We start from the raw sequence: 23,484 nt of genomic DNA on the forward strand, positions 1-23,484 counted from the left end.
GCAGGAGTAACTGGAGTTGTGGAACTGGGTGCAGAAGCTCATCCACATTCAGGAGTGGTTGAGCTCTTAGTATAAAGGCCTCCCCCTCAAGGGTACTTGAGTAGATGCAGCTACAGGAACTTAACACACATGACTAATACGCATTTAAGGGGAATAGAAGTTTGCACCCTAATTTCCACAGAATGCATCACCTTCTTACCAAATGAACAAGGCTCACTAATTGGCCATTTCAAATCCATACAACTATATTGCTGGTTTGTGAGACACTGGATGTTTCCTTTCACGGATTTCACCGGGATGTCTTCTATCTGGCAGACCACCTGAGATTCTCACTGTCAGACAAAGGGAGCAAATTCTGTGAGATTCTACTTCCTGTACTTCCATGTCTGATGGCACTGGAGGAAATGCGTTTTCTTTCCAATTAAGGTGTGTTGTTTGTTCACAGCCTCGACAGACAGTTTTGACTGCTGCTGGCAGCATCGGACAAGCCAGTGGGGATCTTCTGAGACAGATTGGAGAGAATGAGACTGATGAGCGATTCCAGGTAAGATATTTGCAGGCTTATAGTCATGGAAAGAAGTCTAAGTGATGGTCTAGACCCGAGCAGGCAGAATGTAATATTTGAAAACTAACTAAATCTTTGAGATAGTCAAGAATGCGATTGAGATGGATTATCTTGGGAGTGAGGTCTTTTTGTGTTACCAAAAAGATTTTTTTTAATAGGAAAACTCATTTCACTGCCACCATGCGTCATCATTGTAAAGCACGTATTTAGCTTTCCTGATTTTTTTTTTTTTTTTAAATTAGAGTCTCACTCTGTTGCCCAGGCTGGAGTGCAGTGGCGTGATCTTGGCTCATTGCAACCTCCATCTCCCGGGTTCAAGCAATTCTCCTGCCTTAACCTCCTGAGTAGCTGGGATTACAGGTGCACGCCACCATGCCCGGCTAATTTTTGTATTTTTAGTAGAGACGGGGTTTCACTATGTTGGTCAGGCTGGTCTCGAACTTTGACCTCGTGATCTGCCCGTCTCGGCCTCCCAAAGTGCTGGGATTACAGGCGTGAGCCACCGCGCCTGGCCGTGATTATTTTTTTTGTTAATGTGCTGGACATTCTTTAATCACAAGAAGGGAGGAAATATTAATAGTGTCATGAACTCCTGGTATCTGTCACCTAACCTCTGTGATCATTAGTTCCTGGCCAGTCTTACTTTATCTGTTCAGGAGGAGGTTTTAATGGCATCATTCTTGAGTCCTCATAAACATGAAGTTTATGTTTACTTCGACACACACACACACACACACGCGCGCACACACACACACACACACACACAGAGAAAGAGAGAGAGAATTTCCTTTGTACTCAGAGGTGGTTTATTTTTTGTGTCTTATCCAAAACCACAAGCGTGGCAGGGAAGTCTTTTTTGTGACCCTTCTTTTTCAATACCAGGGACCTGTGGTGCTTGCCCTCTGGGGAGCGACTGTCACCACTGTCTGCAGTATCACCTCACTGCAGCTCAGAAAGCATCAGACATCTCTGCTCATCTGCCTCCATCCCTGTCCCTCAAAGGGTGGGGCGCAGAGGCCTGCTTCTGGGGTGGTTCAGGCCAGGATGAGCTGCTTACGTGCTGGTGGGCCAGTGCCCTTTACTCCTTCTCCTAAGTCTCTAATTTTGCAAGTAATATATAAATATATCCTAATTAAATTGTTACAGTTCTGGCCCAGGTTCTCTGAAAGATGCCCTTTTCCAAATCCTGTGTCATGTTCACTGTTTAGGAATTCTACAGAATTTCATTGGCCTTCACTTATTAAAATGTTTTTTGAATTATTTATTTATATATATAATGAAATATTTACTTAGAAGAAATCACAAAAAATTACGAACTTATATGAACTAACACCACAAATATCACCAAATCTAGAAAAATAACGTAATGTTTTTATTAACTACCTGACACTTCTAAATACCTTTTTTCCTGCATTTTTGACTTCATCTGTTTTGACCACCTCTTCATTTGGCAATGATTTTATAATATTTTATAGACGGAACAAAAAGATCCTCTGGCATTCAGGTTTCTTGCTTCATGGGTGGCAATTTTGCATGCCATTTTATCTAGAACTTCCAAATTTTATAAGCATAAGATGTGTTAGTTAAACGAAGATGGGATCATGTATGTTGTGAGACATGAAACTTCAACCTTCATCCATAGATGTGTTTGTTTCTCCTTCACTCTCCACATGCCTGTGGCACTGGGCTATGGGACTCATTCATATCCTGCAGTGCAATAAGACATTCAATGTACAGACATTCGTGTCATGATAGAGGTTGAATTCATATGATGGGTGGTAGGAATATTCCTGGAAGCCATTTCTACACTGAGATGGCTGGTCATAAGTTCCCTAGAATCAAAATGAACTGCACATCAATATATTCTGCTAAACCCAAGTTAATTGTGTCCCCATTCTAATTTGCCTTTCCATATCCCCAAACTGCCCTTGCATTGGCCTTTACTTTTTATATTAGGGCAGGTAATTATTTGTAGGCAGGTACCTATTTAGGAACTTGGTAAATATGAGATTCAGCTGCTGTTTTACTGGGCTTAATTATCTTGACGTAGTCATTTATGTTCCCCAAAAGTATTAATATTATTGTTTTCTCCAAAGTGCCAAGGAAGGTTAAGGAGAAAGTCACAATTCTTCCTTTAAACATCCCATGCAACCTTGTATTTTTTAAAAGCTTTTCCTGCCTCTCCCTGCTTTAGCAGATTATTTTCATTGTGTGTGAATGTCAACCCTGCTTCCTAATGTTTGTTTCTATTCAGATGTGCAAAGGAAGCAGGTTCAGGTTCAGGGTGACAGTCCTACAGAGCCTTTGTTAGCAGGGACAGGCCAGACTTGAATGTTTTCAATTGTTTAGCTCTCTAGGTAAAGACCAGGGCAGTAAGGTGATCCTGCAACCTCCTCCAGTTATGGGTAACTGACATTGGATTTCTTACTCTATTCTTCTGATTCTTGAGATCATATCTCAGAGCTTTTCTTGATTTCTTAATGTACTGCATGTTCCCATAGTTAACAAAGATTTATTTTACACTGGCTATATAATAGTGGTCTTGTTGAAAATTTTGACAAAGGCCTTGTCAGCAGCTATAGCTGTAGTATCACATTCTTTTTCTGACTGTATTTTTTTGGACAAAATTAATAAGAGGAACAGGATTTCTTTAAACAATTCTAACAAAGTCCTTTAGAACAATCATGATTCTATGTGACCAAATCCTGGCCCCCCATCTGAAAAGATGAATTCATATCAAGTGAGGGAATACTATGACCTACTTTGGAAAGTTATTTTTAAAAATCTTTTTAATAATTTGTGACATTCAAGCTGTGTTTTCACTGAGCATTGAGATAGATGTCCAGGAATTGTAACTTTGCCATAGTGGGAGCAATTCCTAAAAGTTGTGTGGTAGACAAGTGCCAGTCAGATCCCAAAGGGATCTTCTGCTTTCAGCACCATGGGCTTTAATTATACCTTGGATAGCCAGGAAACATCACAGACCTGAGAAAGACTGGAATAACCTGCTCCTTTAAGACCACTTAGTTTTTGTCCATTTTAAAATCAGCTTACTTGATAGATTCATGGGTTTCTGGTTTAGCTGGATTGTATCTAGTCTTTGTTCTATGTAAAATTGTGCAGGCTGAATATTATTTCCAATGTATCTTCTCATAAAATATCTCACTGTAAAGACGCTGTGGGTGCCCTTTACATTTAGAATCAAATGTGCTCTTTATCATCTGATGAATTAATAAAGACTTCTGACCGTATTTCCTTGAAGGGAAAAGCCTTGACGTGTTTGTTCCAAATAAAAATGGCTCATATGTTTGGGAAGGCATTTCCAAGTCAAATAAACTACTTTCAGTATTAAAAGCAAAGAAGTAAATTAATTGTAACCATGGTTCTTCTTCAGGTCAGACAGATGGGTGACAAATCTGGTAGGCTCAATCAAAGGATTCTTCTTTCTGCAGGCAGAATGCCTAGTCATTGAGTTGAAGCATAAACTAGCTCCTCGCATTTTCAGTCAGACCATCTTATAGCTAGTGTATTTATATAGGCTCTCTTTCTGCTTTCTGTAATAATTTAATTCCTACCCAGAAGGCTGCAGAACACTGAGAATAACTCATGTTCAGAGCATTTCTTGGCTCTTGAGCTATAGGTATTGGTGCCAGCTATGTGTCTGTGCACATCAAATGTTGCCCTCTGGAGGTAGAGATATGGCTAAATTTCTGATGACGACTTGGATCTTTGTGCAAAGTAGAAATCCAAAAGATACATTTTCAAGTTGCAGTGGGGCATGATGACTGGAGGCCATGAATTATAACCTTCTTATGGCACATGATGTTGTGGCATCTGGATATGTTTTCAGCTTCTCCTGATCTACCATATCAGCCACTCATTCAAGAGACGTGGTCAAGACTTCGTGTTAGATAAGTGCATGAATGGGAATCAGTGGTTAAAATAATGACCCTTCCCTCAAATTAACTATTTTAGATTTAAACCTATGCTACTTAATGGATGTAAGAGACTGAGTTATTAGGATACAAGTCTCCTTTTTTAATTACTTCTAAGGATAAGTTGACATTTCAAAAAAAAGTAAAAAAACTTCTAAAGTACTGAAGGAAAAAGATCAAATGGAATTTTAATAACGTTTATTTTCAGGCTGTGAAAGGTGATTAGAGAAAAATAAATGAATAGTCTTTGATTCCCTTTTCTTAGGATGTTTTAATGAGTTTGGCCAAAGCTGTTGCCAATGCAGCTGCCATGTTGGTACTAAAGGCAAAGAATGTTGCCCAAGTGGCCGAAGACACTGTCCTACAGAACAGGGTAATTGCTGCTGCCACCCAGTGTGCCCTCTCCACCTCCCAGCTTGTGGCATGTGCCAAGGTAAGCCAGCTGGCACCCCAGCCCTTTCTACCCAGTATCACCTGCTGTTACCTGCCTCCAGGCATTTGGTGTGTAGCAGGGGCAGAATTTGTTTAAATAGTCCGAGATTTAGAGCTTCCTTAAAGTGTCTTAAGTGATGATAGGATTTTAGCATAAGCGGTCAAATTCTGCTTTTATCATTTGTTCTTTGCCCAAGTCCTCAGGCCGTTGGTACTTTTCACTAGTTCATTTCTATATGCAAATTGCTGTGTCTCCCCTTTGGACTTCTCAGTGCATCTTTACACCTGCACAAAAATAGTTCTTGCAATGCGTGGTACAGCATTACAAATGGGTTCAGAAATAATCCACAGAGTTTATGGGAACCCTTTCTAGGCTGCACAGGGTCCGAGTGGGGATTTTAATTGTTGCCAGGGTATACACACTCAGTGTGTCATACATCACCTCATTACATCTCCCCGGTAATCCTGCAAATTAAGCACCATTATCTCTAGTTTACTGATGAGGAATCTGAGGCCCTTAGATGTCAGTAGGTTAAGGCCACAGAAGTAGTAAGTGGCAGAACTAGAGTTACAACTCAAGTCCATCTGCCTCCAAATACGCTTTCCCCTCTACTTCATGTGTCCTCTCGGTGATGATGCAGCAGAAGATGGGAAATGTCCGTTTCTGGAATTGATGGCCTGTCATGTTGTATAGATCTGTGATCTGGCTCAGCTTGGCATCAATAGCCTGTGGTAAGATTTGCAGCATCGTCTCCCTCAAGCTTTCATTGTCCACGCTGCTAGAATTTACAAGGAACTGACAGAACCCCCCTGTTCTTTAAAGGACTATGAGGCAGAGTTTCAGGTGTTTCTGGGAATAGAAATAGAATTCTTTTAGGTAGTCTTTGTATCCCAACTCAAAAGACTCAATTCAAAGGATCCTAAAATGAAGGAGGTATAATTGGGAAATCTCAGAAATTTCTCTGTATGGAAGTAGGGCAGTAGTATGGACTGTCACATGTGACTAATGAAGTTATAAATTAGTGGGACATGTCAAATCACAAGGATGAAGTAGAATAGCAGAGCGTGTGAGACTGAAGCAATGGTTTCATTGAATGAAATGGTCAGGTAAGTAAGAAACCGAGCAGTGGTCCTGTAAGTAAGAAACCGAGGCCCAGAGCAGGAAGGGCTTTGATGGGACTGCGGGGGCACATGGAGAGGGACCAGGATTCAACCACAGTGCCCAAAACCTGTTCCTGTCTCACTTCAGGTTGTGAGCCCCACTATTAGCTCCCCTGTGTGCCAGGAGCAGCTGATTGAAGCAGGGAAGCTGGTGGACCGCTCGGTGGAGAACTGTGTCCGTGCCTGCCAGGCGGCCACTACCGATAGTGAGCTCCTGAAGCAGGTCAGCGCAGCGGCCAGCGTGGTCAGCCAGGCCCTCCATGATCTCCTGCAGCATGTGCGGCAGTTTGCCAGCCGAGGCGAGCCCATCGGCCGCTACGACCAGGCTACTGACACCATCATGTGTGTCACCGAGAGCATCTTCAGCTCCATGGGTGACGCTGGTAAGGCACTGTGCTGTGGGTGGGTGGATGGGTGGCTTTTGATGTTCCTGATGGTGGTGCTAACCCATAGGGAAGGTGAAGGCTGCCTGGATGACTGGCAAGGGCAAGTTCTCTTCAGTCTCAAAGACTTCCCCACTGAAGCTCAGAAAAAGATATAAGACTCTTCCATAGTCATGCTTACAGATTTCTACAGAGTTCACTGGGTTTTTGTTATAATGGTTAGATTTTGTTATTTTGTTAGATTTACAGTGAATCCCCTTTGTTCTGCGAATGCACGTGTTGGGTACGGTATGGCAAAGTTGGAGCAGCCACAGAAGGAAACAAGATCAAGGCTTGGAATTTAAGAAGTTTATTATACTTGCATGTCCCCTGGAGGGCTCACCACATGCCGCACAGGGTCATGGGAGAGCACCGGGGTGGTCAGGAGGGAGAAGACAGAGGCAAGGGGAGGGCCTAGACCATGGCCTTTATTGGAGCTTCCTTGGGAAATGCAGGGCAGAATAAACAATTTAGGATTGGCTAGTTTAAATAATTTTGGCAGGCTCTAAATTATGGAGGTGGTGGCTAGTTACCTGGTACCTGGCCCTGGGGTGATCCACGCAGAGGAGCAGTGTCTCCTGGGTGTCTGGGCCAGATAGAGGAGGAATAGCTCTGGGTTGGTTAGTTTGCATATCAAAGACACGTTCCCTGCTGAGCCTGTGCAGTCTCTAAATTGGCCAGCCCTAAGAGGACAGTTTGTCTCCAGCAAAAGGGTGTTTTCAGATTCCAAAGCATCATACCTAATATACAGTCAGTTTAAAAACATACGCAATACACCTTTTTATAATCTATTGAAAAGTAAGTCTCCCCAAACCCAGCTTACCACTGTGCCATCAAAATTCCCGAAATTCATAACCTTTTCATTTTATATATCTTAAAGACTTTTTTTTTCTTTTTTCTTTTTTCTTTTTCTTTTTGAGATGGAGTCTCACCCTGTTGCCCAGGCTGGGGTGCAGTGGCACAATCTTGGCTCACTGCAACCTCCACCTCCCAGGTTCGAGAGATACTCTTGCCTCAGCCTCCCAAGTAGCTGGGATTACAGGCGCCTGCCATGATGCCCGGCTAATTTTTGTATTTTTAGTAGAGATGGGGCTTCACCATGTTGGCCAGGCTGGTCTCGAACTCCTGACCTCAGGTGATCTGCCCGCCTCAGCCTCCCAAAGTGCTGGGATTACAGGGGTGAGCCACCATGCCCAACCTGGACTTTTTTCATGTCCACCTGTATGTTAATCTTTTTAGTGGCAGCATAGTATTCTATTTTTTGAAGGTATCATAATTTAACCAATAATCTTTTAATGGACATTTAGTTTTTTTGTTTGTTAGTTCATTTTGCTTTTACAAAAATACTACAATAAGCATTCTTGTAAAAATAGTTTACTTTTCCTACGTAGGGTAAATTCTTATTAATGGAGTTGCTGGGCCAGTAGGTAGATTTTTATTTTAAATGTATTTAAGAAATTTTTCTCCAGAAAGGACCCACAATTTGCAACCCAACTAGTAATCTGTAAGAGATCTATTTTTGTGCTTCCTTGCCAGCATAGAACAATACCTTATAACGAGTTTTGGTGTTTTTAGAAAATTGTCTTGTGTTCTTCTGTATCCTTAAATAATTTAACAAGATAGGAATGCTTCACACATTTGAATTTGTTGTTGTTTGTTTGTTTTTGACAATCCTTTTATTTTGAAATACTTTTAAATTTGCAAAAAAGTTGCAGAGGAAATATGGAGAGTTCCCATATACCTTTCCCAGTTTCTCCATTTTTGACATCTTCCCTAAAGGATAGCACATTTGTCAAAAACCAGGAAATTAGCATTGGTATTTTAGTGAACCACTAACTAAACTACAGACATTTTTCAGATTTCATCAGTTTTTCTGCTGATGTCCTTTTTTTTTTTTTTTTTTTTTTTTTGATGGAGTCTTGCTCTGTTGCCCAGGCTGGAGAGCAGTGACACAATCTCAGCTCACTGCAAGCTCCGCCTCCCAGGTTCATGCCATTCTTCTGCCTTAGCCTCCTGAGTAGCTGGCACTACAGGCGCCCACCACCACGCCCGGCTAATTTTTTTGTGTTTTTAGTAGAGATGGGGTTTCACCGTGTTAGCCAGGATGGTCTCGATCTCCTGACCTCGTGATCCGCCCACCTCGGCCTCCCAAAGTGCTGGGATTACAGGCGTGAGCCACCGCGCCTGGCCCTGCTGATGTCCTTTTACCGTCTCGGGATCCAGTCCAGGATACCACAGTGAATTGAGCACATTTTTATTTTAGTAAAAGCTTTCTTCTTCCCCCTTTTTGTTATAGTGCTTCGGCATTCTTCTCAGATGACCTTTGCTAGAGGAAGATTTCTTGCTAGAGGAAGATTTGAATCGTTCTATTTTTTAATGTTGGTTGTTATACTCCTCCTACTTCCAGAAGGAAATTAAAATAGATTTCAGTAAAATCACAGGGACAATAAGACCAAAGAATAATGCAAGATCAAAATCAGTGCTGGGCAAAAAAGGATGAGCAGAGAGAAAATTGGCAGAGAAAACTCCAGGCCAAGGCAAGTCATAGCATTTGAGCATGAAGCTAATAAGCGAAGGCCAAATGGCACACATTGAATGGATTGTGTGATATCCCTCATCTGGTGCTAGGTAACCTACACATTAATACAGAATTTAAAAGTAATTTTGTTCTGTGCCAATTCTTCAAAAAGTTTATTATAGACGCTTTTGTGTAAGTGGTTTTCAAAGTGAAGAAAGCAATGTTTTCTAAATAAGTATTTACTAATGCTAAATCCACGTAATTTTGTTCCCTGCCCTCTCTTTATAGTGTTCCTCTTTGGCTGCTTCTGTTCTGATTATGCCTCATAGTGAAAGGTTGAACCTGGCTGTGTTTGGGGAGCCGCATCCTGGCAGCCGCAGGGAATATTTTCATTTTGGGCTCTAATTTGGATGCATGGCTTAGGACTAGAGCATGGAGGTTCAGTTTTTTTGCTCCTGCTTACCAGAGGAGTAGAGACAAGACTGTAGTGGCTCCTGAGGTTTTACTGACCTTTGAAAAGCAGACAAACAGACCTCATCCTCTATTCTGTCTTCTAGGTGAAATGGTGCGCCAGGCGCGGGTTCTGGCCCAAGCCACATCAGACCTCGTCAATGCCATGAGGTCAGATGCAGAAGCCGAAATCGACATGGAGAATTCAAAGAAGCTCCTGGCAGCAGCAAAACTCTTAGCTGACTCCACTGCTCGCATGGTGGAAGCTGCAAAGGTATTCTACTGGATTTGTTTGTATGAAAAGTGAACACTATTAAGTGTTAGGATTTGGAAGGTACTTTCCAGATGGGGCATGGTCATCCGAGTGTGCATTTTTGTTTGCTTAAAACCTATATGGCTTGTAACATCTAACCCTGTTCTTGTGGCAAAGGCGGTAATGGAACATCTGAATGAAATGCTTCAGGGAAGTGGTACTGACTCAGCCATAGTAGCAAAGTGCCCTCTTTAGGGAGGCCTCTTTTTCCATTTGGTCATCACTGTTGGCTTCATTCAATGTGGTGACTAATTTAAACCTGAGATTTTTCAATAGCAAATTCACCTAAACCTATTCTCTTCCTTAATGCCTTAATGTTACTTTTGCCCTCCATTTGACTTCTCAACTATTATCAAGATTTTGCACAGTAGACTATTTCCTACTTTACGGTTCTTTAAATCCCAGTTGCAGTTTTAAATATTATAAAATGATGAGGAGTTAAGAGTTCCTTTATGCTTTTTGACAGCTGTGCTATAGCATAATGCTTACAAAACCTAGTGATTCTGAACCAGCGGTCTGATACACAGCCCCCTGTGGAACATATTAAAATGCACATGCCTCAGTTTCATCCCCAAAGATCCTGATTCACAAGGTCACTGGTAGGACTCAGTGTGTGTGTGTGTGTGCATGCGTGCGTGCATGTGTTTAAGTTCTTCAGGATATTCCGATGTGCATCTCTAGGTGAGAACTGTTTTAAATGAATAAGGCTATATTTTTCTGGGTTTTTTATTGTGTACCTAGCACACATTTCTTATAGAATTAATAGAAAATGCAGATAAATGTGAAAAAAGAAAATAAAAATCACCTTCAAATTCCTGCCCTCAAAATAATATTTTAAATGTATTTCTATGCATATAAGATTCATTAAGGCCAGGCACGGTGGCTCACACCTGTAATCCCAGCACTTTTGGGAGGCCAAGACAGGTGGATCACCTGAGGTCAGGAGTTCGAGACCAACCTGGCCAACATGGTGAAACCCTGTCTCTAATAAAAACACAAAAAATTAACTGGGCATGGTGGTGTTCGCCTGTAATTCCACCTACTCGGGAGGCTGAGGCAGGAGAAAATTGTTTGAACCCAGGAGGCAGAGGTTGCAGTGAGCCAAGATCGTGCCACTGCACTCCATCCTGGGTGACAAGAGCAAACCTGCGTCTCAAAAAAAAAAAAAAAAAACAAAAAATAGATTCATTAAGTGTCTCCACATCTTACCTCATCTCCCTGGCTTTGGGAATTGGTATCTCAACCTAATATGTGTGTTACTTCACTTAAAATGTATTGTGGGCTGGGCATGGTGGCACACGCCTGTAATCCCAGCACTTTGAGAGGCCGAGGTGGGCGGATTACCTGAGGTCAGGAGTTCAAGACCAGCCTGACCGACATGGCAAAACCCTGTCTCTACTAAAAATACAAAAATTAGCCAGGCTTGGTGGCACATGCCTGTAATCCCAGCTACTAGGGAGGCTGAGGCAGGAGAATTGCTTGAACCTGGGAGCCAGAGGTTGCAGTGAGCTGAGATCGTGCCATTGCATTCCATCCCGGGAGATACTGCAAGACTCTGTCTCAAAAAAAAAATGTATTGTGACACATAGTGAGCCATGTAGAGGACCTCTCCTCACTCAACTGTCCATCATGTTACTTGAGGGACTGAGAGTTCTTAGAGACACCTCGTGGGTAGGGGTGAAAGAGAGACCCAGGGAGGGACAGTGTCTGAGCTTCCTTCCCTTGTCTCCTAATCCCTGTTTCAGCCAATAAGCTCTGCTATTAACCCCCTTCTTTAAGCCATATATATATATATATATGCTGTGTGTGTGTATGTGTGTGTGTGTATGTATGTATTGGGTTTTATGTAGTAGTTGAATTTTTTAAAAGGTTTTACTAGTTTACCCCACCTCTCTCAGTCTATACATAGATATTTGAGGCAATCTTATGTTCATAAAAAATTACTTGGTAGGTTGGAAAGAACTGTAGGGTAAATCTAGTCCGTTCCTTATTTTACAAATGAAAAAAATTAAAACTCATAAAAGATGAATGCTAATGCCACATAAGCAGTATTGAGCCAGGCCAATGTGCACGTTTTTTTTTTTTTTTTTTTCTTTTTTTTTTTGAGACAGAGTCTCACTCTGTCACCCAGGCTGGAGTGCAGTGGCACAGTCTTGGCTCATTGCAAGCTCTGCCTCCTGGGTTCACGCCATTCTCCTGCCTCAGCCTCCTGAGTAGCTGGGACTACAGGTGCCTGCCACCACGCCCGGCTAATTTTTTGTATTTTTAGTAGAGACAGGGTTTCCCCGTGTTAGCCAGGATGGTCTCGATCTCCTGACCTTGTGATCCACCCGCCTCGGCCTCCCAAAGTGCTGGGATTACAGGTGTGAGCCACCGCGCCCAGCCACGTTTTGTTTCTTGATGTGACTGTTTATCAGGCCAATTCACTGCATTTACCAAGTTACCAGAAACTCGTTTCTTCTAAGTATTCATGTGATTTTGGTTATTTATATTAAATGAGACAACATTAAGTGTTTCTGTAAATTCTTTTAACTTTTAGTTAAAAGTTTTCATTTTGTCTTTGTAGCAATATTTTAATTTGCTGAATTTTGTTGAAAGCTAAAGAACACGCAATGGTTAGACTTCCAAGGATTATATTTAATGTGCAGAAAAAATATATTTCATGATTAGTAACTAAGATTTCAGGCCAAAATTAGTACCCCATATCTGATACATATTCATCATAAAAAAAGACATTGCTGAGCAAGGACCCAAAGCATCCACATCAGTGTGAAGTGCAGAAGTGCTGGTTTCCAGCTGCTCAAAATACATAAAATTAGGCTGATGTGCACTTGAGACATATATAAAGGAGCAGCTTAGAAAATACCTGATGAACAGAAAAAAACAAAATGACTTTCATAAACTTGCAAAAGAATCCAAAAGTAGCCCAATCCTTTTACATGTGAAATGCAGAAATAAAAATGTTTCATTGCTAGATTATGAGAGTGGTTAAAGTTTGAAAGAATAGGAGATTCTATTCAAGAGGGTTGCCAAAAGAATTCTACCACAGCTGTTAAAACTATTCCATCCTGTATGCATTGCTATAACTTTTATAAATAGCTCAAAGAAATAGGTTCTTATAAATTGGTAAGTTTAGCAAATTGGCCACTTGGAAATCTAGACGTTTAGAAAATTGACTTTTGATAAATCGGTGTGCTGTTCTTCCTGCCTTGAGAGCAAATATTATTGCCTGAAAGCGTTCATAGGAAGAAACTCATTGATCTATAGACATCAAGCACATGTTACAAAGCATTCAGGCCCTGGTGAGGGAAATCTTGATTGCTACTGTTATAGTTGTGGGAGAGGAAGGCTGGATGTGCTGTGAGCATGTTGAATTATTATAGAGTTAAAATTATATCCTTTCTCTACATTACCATTAGCCTTCCCCTGCTTCAGAATCCCACCCATCTAAATAAAATCCACTTAGATTTCTAAGACATGTTCAACTAAAAGCAACAAAGTAAAAGGGGCTGTGGGGCTGGACAAAGAAAGCGTGACTGGCATATTGCCTTCCTCTTTTTCTGTCAGGTGGACGGCATTACATTTCTCTCATTAATTCAGTACATTTGGATACCATCTCGACTTTATACTAGACCTTCCAACTCTGTCTCTCTAGGAATGTAATTTCTGGGCATGGTCTTTCTTTAACAAAATTTCCTTGGAGTGTTTTTGAACGGCATTCCTGAGCCCTCCCTCCATCCTTCCCCCTCTTCCCTCTGTCCCCACCTGAGTTGATACTGGACTCTTACCCCTTCACATTTACCTGTGCCACAGGGTATTTCAGGAGTGACATGAAGACATGTGTCATTACTGTGTCATGCCAATGAAAAGAAGATTCTCCCTGGGAGAGATGGGGAGAGGGGAGATTTAATCTTCCCATCTTTTAAACCATGGGTTTCTGTCCACAGGTTAATTTGTATGGACAACCAAGGCAATGTTCTCAAGTGTTTAATTATTACTTTGGATTTCTAACTGCTTAGCTATGCAATTTTGAAACATCCCCTGGTAGGTATTTTTTGTTGCATGAGGAAACATCTTCATCATAAAGATATTGCTTGTGGCATTTGACTATCCTTGCAAATGCTTTCTATTACTAAGAAAAAATAATACTGAAGGCATGAATTCAGTGATGTCTCCTGCTGGACCACTTGAAATCTTTATTTTTGCCTTTGCAGGGGGCTGCAGCCAACCCAGAGAATGAGGACCAGCAGCAAAGGCTGAGAGAAGCTGCAGAAGGCCTCCGGGTAGCAACCAACGCAGCTGCCCAGAATGCTATTAAGAAAAAAATTGTCAACCGACTGGAGGTAAGGAAAGAGGCTGCCTTTCTGGGATGCCCATCTTAAATTGCAAAGAGTTATTTGAAAAGATAGTTGAATTAACAAGGTGTTGACAATATAAAGAAAGCCAAGTCAAGGTTCACATCATTGTTTGAAGGTTTGAGTACTATAAAAGCATTGACTCAATTGGAAAAAACTGCTTCCGTAAGCTCGAATCCTTTCTAGCATTCAGGAATAGAATTTAGACTCTTTTCAGGAGGAACCAGATTTTTTTTTCTATCATTAAAGGATATACACATTCAAGAAGGACCTTTTGCTGAAAATATTTATATTTTGTTGGAGTCAGTGACTTTGTCAGGGCTTCCCATAGGAAATATGGACTTCAAAGACTGGAGGTGGAGATTAGGCTTGGGTGGATAGGTATAGAAGGGAGTGAAATATATTTGTTATTTTTTGAAATAATTATTCTGAAAAAGAAAGTTGAAATAGTAATAGGCAAAAACTATGTTTTTTTTTTTTTTAAAAAGTTTGTCTGACAAATGCACACAGGAGACCCTTACACTGAAATTTGAGAGTTTGGAAGATGAGACCTTTGCCTGTGTACTGAGAAGTCCCTCCATATGCAGTCTGCTATATTCTGGAAGAAAAGTAACATTGTTGTTCTTGGACAAAGACAAGAGGGTAAACACAATTAAGTGCCCTGGTTGGAAAGTCTCTGCATTTTGGAACTAAGGCTTCTGAGTGCTGAGAGAGGAGAGTCATGGGCACCAGCATTTGTGCTTGACACAGAACCATCTACGCTGCTTGTGGGAGATTTTTTTTTCCACACATTTAGACTTGGTGCAGCTTGTCAGTGTCATTATGATCTTGGAATCATCCTTTTTGTTTTTGAGAAAAACAAATGAACTTCAAAGCTTGAGCTTTCAAGCGTGCCTGTCTTTGTCACTTGTCTCAGAGGACGTCAACACAAGGAAGATAGCGTGTTGTAAGATTAGGGTCATCACTGGTTTTAAAAGGCAAAGCCTGCTCTTTGGAGTTCTTTTAGAGCCACAAACCTGTCCTGACTCTGTGGTGGAAGTGACCTGTAGAACATGCATGTATATTGCATATGCAGATCCTGACTCATCTATCACTCCTCTGCAGGTTGCAGCCAAGCAGGCCGCAGCGGCAGCCACACAGACCATCGCCGCCTCCCAGAATGCAGCTGTTTCCAACAAGAACCCTGCGGCCCAGCAGCAGCTGGTCCAGAGTTGCAAGGTGAGGTTCCAGTGCACAGAGAGCCAGGTCAGCTGCAGATGACCCTGATAACATTAGAACACCAAGTCCCCTGGTAGTTCAGTAAAGACAGATTATCCAAGCTCCTAATCCAATTTGCCCCAGTTCCCATGTTCCAGGTGTCTACACGTCTGGTTTTTGTCCATTAAGTGGATGGCCTGTGTTTGGAAAGTGTGATTTTCTTCCAGCGTTGTCTACTTTTGTCCACAATTTTCTTTTCAAGAGACTGAGCCAAAGAGGATCAATGACGAGGCCATTTTAGGGCTCTGAAATGGGAAGGAAGTGTTGAGTTTCCAGAGTGCCTTTCTTTGAGAGGCAGGACTTCAAATTCAGCCTCGCTCCCTGGAGCAGGGTTCATTTCCTGCTTTCTAATAATTGCACCTCAAGGATTTATTTCATCCCATCTAGCCTCTGTGACTTTGTACTTTGGTGCTTTTTGTTGTTGCTCTTTTGTCTCTATTCTTCTGACACCTGGGCCTTGATGCTAAGTTGAGGCCAGTTTACTACAAAAGGTACAGTAAACACCCTTGTTGGTTTCTCTAAGAGCCCAGGGAGTTGACTCCCCCAGGGCTCCTCTTAATGGTGGCAGACACAAAGTCCAGTTGCAAAGCCACTGCCCACATGTGGGTGGCACATCTGGCTGGCATGTCCTGGAAGTATTTGCAGCTAGCTGTGGTGGCTGGCTGGGAGGCATACCTGTCTCTGCTGGGGTTATGAGAGCCAACTGCAACCCTCTCTGCTTCTTCAAATCTCTGCCAAATGATTCACATTTGTGAGGGGTGCCACTGCTCCCACTTCAGAAATGGCCTTTGCTTCTGATGGAGCCCTGTATTCCTGAATCTGGATTCTCTGAGGCCAGCCCTACTGCTGTTGTGGACTGAATGCACTCCAGGAAGAAAAGCCTTAGTGACATAGTAGGGTCCTGGGCTGGTGTCCTTCGGTCCTGTGTGGATAGAGAAGGAGTCTTGCTGAGAGTGAGGCCTCTGCTGTGGAGGAGTTTGCTTCCTATTGGGTCCTCAGCTCAGCTGCTAGCAGGGGTGAAAACTTTCTTCTCAGGAAGCATGTGCTGCTCACATGCAGGGACATGCCACAGGATGAGTGAGACCTCTCGCCCCTCTTCTGCAGAGAGACTGAAGATACTAGGTCTTGAGTGTCACTACCAGGAAATGAAAGGATTGAGATGGAGAGGGGAGAGTGGAGCAAATGACTAGAACTAGCAGAACTGGCAGTCCTAAAGGGGGCCTGGGAAAAATTCCATGGAAATATTTGTTTTAACTTGTGCTGGAGCAGTCCTAGAAAAATATGTCATCAGGCCAGTATGCACTGGGCACCTTTATCCACAACGATGGCCACAGTGCTGTGGCCTCTGAGAGCCTCATTAACCAGAGAAGGAGGTGCGGGCACAGAAAGGAAACAGGGACAGAACACAGAGAAAGTAAAAGGCTCATCTCCCAAGGCACACTGTAGGAGCCCATTACTGTACAGCAGCACTGCCTCACAGAATGCCGTGCCTCTCTCCTTTCCCCTGGCTTTGGGCTTTCCAGTTTGAGAATGAGAAGTCCTTCTTAGACAAAGAGGGGCCATGGCAACACAAAGGCGCAGAATGTGTGCCTGCAAAGTAAGAAGCCAAAGCACTTACATGCACTGGTATCCAAGTATTTCCCTCACCTTCTGAACATGGGGCTGTACACTTCAGTTTACCACCTGTGAATCGTGTAGATCCTTTGATTCTAGGTTTGCAGTGCCAATGAGCCAGATGGTGTGAGTTGCAACTAAGGAAATTCTTTTAGGCCTCATCATAGACAATCATCTTCGAAGGAATGTATCGAGACTTCCAGGACCACAGGGTAGAGTATGTGTAGAGAAAATGCCCAGAAAATGGGATTCAGTGTTGGTAAGGACCCAGCTGGCTTAATGTGCAGTGTCTATCCAAGGTCTGGGGCTGGCGTCCCCTGGGAGTAGATGGCACATCCAAAAAGCGCACTTGGGTCATGGTCTAGCTTCTTTGGATGGTCCCACCATTCTAGCCATGCTGTTTTTATTTCCTTGCCTTCTGCAGGCAGTGGCTGATCACATCCCTCAGCTGGTCCAGGGAGTGAGGGGGAGCCAAGCTCAAGCTGAAGACCTGAGTGCCCAGCTGGCTCTCATCATCTCCAGCCAGAACTTCCTCCAGGTAACAGGGCTGTGGTCACCTTGGGCTCACTCAGAGCCCTCTTCTGGGCAGGGGCTGCCCTTTAAGGAGAGGAGTTAATGAATTCCACAGCCTCAGCTAAGTCTTTGCGGTAGGCAGGGCTTGAAGGCCTCTTCTTTACCTTTCCAGTTTCAGGAGAGGTGGGTTCAGCTTGGCAAAGCAAAATGCTGATATGCAGGGAAATTGCCCTGTGGAGATGGCATATGTTCCGTTTTCCTCAGGATTATCGTATTTATTTCTCTTCAAAGAGAAGAAAACACGTAAAATGTTGCAAGTTGTGATGAACAGCCTAGGACTAGGCATTGCTTTAGGTTTTTGTTTCCAGAGATCCTAATGCCATTGTTCATGGACCGGGAAAAGAAATGTTAAGTGCGTCTTCTCCAAAGATATGATCGTTCTTTGTGGCAATTGTACAGTTAGTATTGTCAGTCTCTGTGGGGTGAAGGGTAGATTCATTTTAAGGAAAATAAACGAAAATATTAAGTTGTGGAAAAATTCCCCTTTACGTGCTTCTTATATTCAAATCTCTCTACTTTATCAGCACTTTTTCTCGACTTGTATCTCATAAGCAGTTGATATTATGAGGTGGGTCAATTCCTCATCCCTTTCTAGTTCAACTGATAGTTGTAGGACCCAGTGATACATCTATTTGGTTCATTTTTCAAGTTATATAACTCTAACATGCAGAAATAAAACATGAAAGGTTTGATATATCTCCTCATATTTTAACTACATACATATACAACACAGGTGTGTGTGTGTGTGTGTGTGTGTGTGTGTGTGTATTCTTTTAAATTGGTATTCATTGTATATAGGCCCTTTGTGTTTTTCATCTAACATATTATGAGTGTTTATGATTTTGAATAATCTTCTGTTATATGACTATACTCTTCATTTAACTTTTCTCTCATTATTGGACGTACAGGTTTTTAATTTTTTGCCATCATGAATAACGTGATAAAAATCTTTATGTGCTCAAGTCTTTTCTTGAATTCCTAGAGAGAGGATTGTAAACAGCTTATTTTTATCTTTAGGACTTTGCAGATTATGACTTGGACAAGGCATTTCTCTCTTCATTTGGGAGGGGAGAGAGCCTGGAGCCATTTGTGGGTACTGTCTCCACCCTGACAAGATTGTAGGGCATTAAGATAGAGCCGTGTAGATGTGTTCCTGGTTCCACTCTGTCCCTGCCCTTGTTTTCCCTTTTTCTTTTGTTCTTTTAACTTTGCTAGTATAGATACTCAGATCTTTACGAGAAAAAGGGAAGGTTGAAAATAAATAGAAATTGAATTGACAGATCAAAAAGTTTGTACATTTTAAACTTCATGTTATAACATTGCTCTTCCAGGAGGTTGAACAAATCTAAATTTACAACTTAGCAGTATATAGAGCATGCTTTTAAATATATCTTTTATGAGATTGGGGATTCAACTTTTAAGAAAACATGTATGTTTTTGCCAGTTTGCTCTGTAAAACTATTTTTGTTTGGTTTTGCATTTCTCCGATATTCACAATGTTAAACATTTTTCATAAGTTTCAGTTATTTTTTATTATGCAAAATTATGTTTGTGCTTTTTATATACTCATGGTAGCTTTTATAAATATTCATTAATTCTTTAAATATTAAAAATATTAACTTTTGTCCTTAATATTTATGATCTGGCACTTGTTGGAACTTTTCTAAGTGTAGTTTTATAACATATATATTAAAAGTCTTAAAAGTATGTATGCTCTTTGATCCAGAAATTCAACTTTTAAAAATTTATACAAAGAAAATTATAAATATGTACAGAGTTAGCTGTAGAGCTGTTTATCATAGCATTGTTTATTAAATTGGAAAAAATGGAAACATGCCCAACAATAGAGAATTGAGAAATGGCAATAGTTGCATATACTGGAATATTATATAGCTCTTTAAAAGGTAGGATATGTGAGACAAGGAGATTGTGAGATAGAGTGAACAGTGTGATCTTATTTTTGAAAAATATGTACATGCACATAGATGTCCCTTCACTGGCGAAGTTATTTTGCTTTGTGAGGTGCGAGGTCATGTTAGCTGTTTTATTTATCTGTCTTCATTTTTCTAAGCAGTCTTTTGAGTGTACGTGAGACTCAGAATAAAGAGCTATTCTGAGAAATACAGTGAAACCTATTTAATAAGGAACTCTCTTTGAAATCGGTTTTAAATGAGAATTTCAAGCCACTATTCTAATTTTGCCTCCTCTACCCTCCATGACACCTCCTTTTTTTCTTTTTTTAAACATTCCTAGAAGGTACTGCCCTAGAGTATCTGGCTTGAGGTGGCAGTTTGGGAATAGGGGATGAGTTGTTTAATATTCCTTTTTTTTAGGACAAAATCAGTTCTTACTGCTGTGGAGACCTCGCTGCTTAGGTCTCTCCTCTCTACCTCTTGCTGCCCAGGAGCCATCTTACTTTCTTTTCATCTCTCTATAGCCTGGAAGCAAGATGGTGTCCTCTGCCAAAGCCGCAGTGCCCACCGTGAGTGACCAGGCCGCAGCCATGCAGCTGAGCCAGTGTGCCAAGAACCTGGCCACCAGCTTGGCGGAGCTGCGTACCGCCTCGCAGAAGGCAAGTGGAGCGTGTCATAGGGGTTAACTTGTCAGGAAGGGAGCTGGGGTGGCATGGGTACCACCCAGGGCCTGAACACTGCTGAACCTATTTCTTGGCAAAGTTGTCCATTCTACTTGCATGACTATTAAAGATGCCCCTGTGGGTTGGCTTTTGTTGCATTAAGCCACTATCTCCCAGACTTAGTATTCACTTTTTGATTTCAAATGCCTTTCGTTGAACTATTTTGAGTTGTGTACTTCCTCCTCCTCCTCCTCTTTCCATATCCTGGAACAAGCAGTGGTCCATTTTTCACAAGTCTTAGGGGAGAATGGTAGTCATCAGTGTCTCAGTGCCAGCTAAATTGTAGTCCAGAATAAGTGATCATATATTCCAGGTATCATTTTGTGAACTTAATAACAAATTATATAGGCAGAAAATCTATTTTGAAGTGTCATCTTTATTATCTTTTTTGCCCTGCAAAGTTTTCACTTATTGCGTGGGAGCATTCACCTTAACAAGGTCTTCAAGAGAACAGAGTTGAGGACTAAATTTCTGTCTCTGGAGCATATTAATTACCAAAGGGCCTCATTTACTACTCTGTTTGATGTGGTATTAGCATGAAGTTCTAGCATGAATTCACTTTTCTTCATTGTAGCAATCCCTTTATAGAAACAAGCAGCCTCATAAATTGGTAAGAGAAGAAGGTAGAAGTTGACTGAATTCTTAATATGAGGAGAATGCTACACTGCCAAATAAAAATATCCAGAGCTTTAGACTATAGCCAATAAAAAAGTTATTTTGACCTGTGTTTCTCAAAGAGAGCTCGTGGTACTGTCTACACTGGAATCACCTGGGGATGCTTATTAGAATGCACATCCCTGGGCCTTGCCTCTGAGAAACCAGATTAGAATTTCTGGTTGTAGAGCCTGAACATCTGCATTTTCACAAGCTTCTTTGCTGAGTCTGAGACACACACCAACATTGAACCACACTGCTCGAAAGCAGTGACCCCTAAAGTGGGACTCAAGCAAGACTGTCCATTGGGTACAGGAAGACACACTGTGAAAACTTTTTTTTTTTTTTTTTTTTTGTGAAACAGGGTCTTGCCCTGTTGCACAGACTGGAGTACAGTGGTGCAGTCATGGCTCACTGTAACCTCAATCTGCTGAACTTAAGCAGTCTCCCACCTCAGCCACTTGAGTAGCTGGACCACTGTCATGTGCCACCACATCCAATTAATTTTTTTTGTTTGTGTTTTTTTTTAGAGATGAGATTTCATCATCTTGCCCAGGCTGGTCTTGAACTCCTGAGCTCAAGTAATCCTCCCACTTGAGCCTCCCAAAGTGTTAGGATTACAGGCGTGAGCCACTGCACCCGGCAATATTTTTTAATATGCAGCATAAGGATTAAGAGTTCAGGCTCTAATCCCAGCACTTTGGGAGGCCAAGGTGGGTGGATTGCTTGAGTCCAGGAGTTCAAGACCAGCCTGACCAACATGGTGAAACCCCATCTCTAATAAAAATACAAAAATTAGCCAGGTTGGTGGTGCATGCCTGTAGTTCCAGCTGCTCAGGAGGCTGAGGCATGAGAATCACTTGAACCCAGGAGACAAAGGTTGCAGTGTGCCAAGAGCATGCCACTGCACTCCAACCTGGGCAACAGAGTGAGACTCTGTCTCCCAAAAAAATAGAAAAAAGAGTGCAGGCTCTGGAATCAGACTGTCATTGACTAATTTGGTGACCTAGACAAGTTAGTTAACCTCTCTGTGCCTCAGTTTCCTTCTTGAGTAATAGTGGCACATAGAAATCAATTAGTATTTATTTCTGCTGTTATTACTATCATCTAAAAATGGAAAGAAATGAAAATGTACCAGTATTTAGTATACTGATCAATAATTACACGTTTATATAATTATATGTGCATGTGTATATTGAGGGATGTTATCAAAGCATTTGGAGATCAGTGTTATACGTGACCAAGAGATAAAGTAGTTTTCATAAATTACTAAGGGAAAAATATTTTGTAATCTTCAGTACAGAAAAGTAATGATTTATAATCTAGAAATTTGTAAAGAGAAGCAATAAAGTTGACATAGACTTGCCCCCAGAGTCCTGGGTGTGTTCATTTGTTCATTCACTGCATCTTTCCCATGACTCTGTGTACACACATGGCTGTGCTAGGTGCCCTACCTCTAGAACTCAGCCACAGTGAATAAATGATCCACTGAGTCTAAGAGGCAAGTGCATTTCAGATAAGGGTCACTTCCGGAACTCTTACTATATCCAGTTATGAGACATACCTAATTGATGGTTTAAGGAAGTTAAGAGTAAGGTTCTAACTGAGGATGATTTTGTTCTCTCAGAAAAAATACTTGCTTTCCTTGCTCCTCCTGCTGGATTTGGAGAATCACTGGGTATATCCAGAAGGGCATTTTATAAGTTGCAAAAGTGTTGGGGACACTTTTCCCAAGCAGACTGGGTATACATATTTCCAACTCTGTTGGCAGGCCCATGAAGCTTGTGGTCCGATGGAAATCGATTCAGCTCTGAATACGGTGCAGACGCTTAAGAATGAACTGCAGGATGCCAAGATGGCAGCCGTGGAGAGCCAGCTGAAGCCACTTCCAGGGGAAACGGTGAGCTGTTAGAGCCAGCTGGGGTGCGGGTGTACCTTTTGTTATGACGTTATTAAATTGTTTGTTGTTAGGGTGTTTGCTAAAGTTGCGGCATGTTGAGAAGCTTCTAATCCTGTGGTCTTTTTCTGAAAAGAATGCCCAGGGCAGCTGGAGGAACTAGGTTTGGAGTTATGAGCGCTGGATTCTACACTCAGCTGTATCATCAACTAGCTGTGCACGCGTCCCATATCTCCTCTATGTCTGAAGTATTTTATTTACGAAGTGGGTAGCAATGAGGCTATCATGATGCACATAGAAAAGATTATCAGCAGTCATTTTAAAAAAACATTTACTTAATGCAAAGCACTAGGATGGACAACGGCAAAGTGCGTCCATACAGGAAAGCCATACTGCAAATGGAATAATGGCACTAGAGGTCTACTGTGGTCGTATTACCACACCTCCTGATGCTTATGTCAGAGTTTTGTTGGCTAAAACTTTACCAGTCCTCCTCATTTGTATGTACTTCCTTACATGACTGAACATTGCTAGTAAAATACCACCATGTATTAAGCACCTGTGAAGCACTGTACACACACAGTGTAGTTTATCGTGATAGTAACTTTCATGAGCAAGTTTTATTAACCCCGTTTACAGATGAGAAACACAGAGGCACAGAGTTTGTCACCGTTCTGTCCAATGTTATCTGCCAGTTAGGAGC

At 41.7% G+C, this 23,484-nt stretch overlaps 1 protein-coding gene across 2 annotated transcripts in view, besides 3 other annotated features; it reads left to right on the plus strand.

Annotated features, from left to right (window-relative positions):
* The window catches only part of TLN2 (talin 2), a 454,082-nt gene that overhangs the window by 311,771 nt on the left and 118,827 nt on the right, over positions 1 to 23,484 (plus strand). For both annotated transcript variants that reach the window (NM_015059.3, NM_001394547.1), the window contains 9 exons: positions 446 to 544; positions 4,766 to 4,933; positions 6,182 to 6,476; positions 9,591 to 9,757; positions 14,011 to 14,139; positions 15,256 to 15,369; positions 17,447 to 17,560; positions 20,033 to 20,167; positions 22,656 to 22,784. In NM_015059.3, the coding sequence (NP_055874.2) occupies positions 446 to 544; positions 4,766 to 4,933; positions 6,182 to 6,476; positions 9,591 to 9,757; positions 14,011 to 14,139; positions 15,256 to 15,369; positions 17,447 to 17,560; positions 20,033 to 20,167; positions 22,656 to 22,784 (1,350 nt within the window). The remainder of the gene's footprint in view (positions 1 to 445; positions 545 to 4,765; positions 4,934 to 6,181; positions 6,477 to 9,590; positions 9,758 to 14,010; positions 14,140 to 15,255; positions 15,370 to 17,446; positions 17,561 to 20,032; positions 20,168 to 22,655; positions 22,785 to 23,484) is intronic.
* Positions 5,850 to 6,621: an enhancer, noted in NCBI's record as "H3K4me1 hESC enhancer chr15:63000369-63001140 (GRCh37/hg19 assembly coordinates)". NCBI's record gives its function as "activates a minimal SCP1, AML or CMV promoter by ChIP-STARR-seq in primed H9 embryonic stem cells {active_cell/tissue: H9 hESC(primed)}" and the evidence as "EXISTENCE:reporter gene assay evidence [ECO:0000049][PMID:30033119]".
* Positions 19,599 to 20,099: an enhancer, noted in NCBI's record as "H3K4me1 hESC enhancer chr15:63014118-63014618 (GRCh37/hg19 assembly coordinates)". NCBI's record gives its function as "activates a minimal SCP1, AML or CMV promoter by ChIP-STARR-seq in primed H9 embryonic stem cells {active_cell/tissue: H9 hESC(primed)}" and the evidence as "EXISTENCE:reporter gene assay evidence [ECO:0000049][PMID:30033119]".
* Positions 20,100 to 20,600: an enhancer, noted in NCBI's record as "H3K4me1 hESC enhancer chr15:63014619-63015119 (GRCh37/hg19 assembly coordinates)". NCBI's record gives its function as "activates a minimal SCP1, AML or CMV promoter by ChIP-STARR-seq in primed H9 embryonic stem cells {active_cell/tissue: H9 hESC(primed)}" and the evidence as "EXISTENCE:reporter gene assay evidence [ECO:0000049][PMID:30033119]".

This window comes from Homo sapiens, chromosome 15 (assembly GCF_000001405.40).
Source record: "Homo sapiens chromosome 15, GRCh38.p14 Primary Assembly".
Classification (NCBI taxonomy): Eukaryota; Metazoa; Chordata; class Mammalia; order Primates; family Hominidae; genus Homo; species Homo sapiens.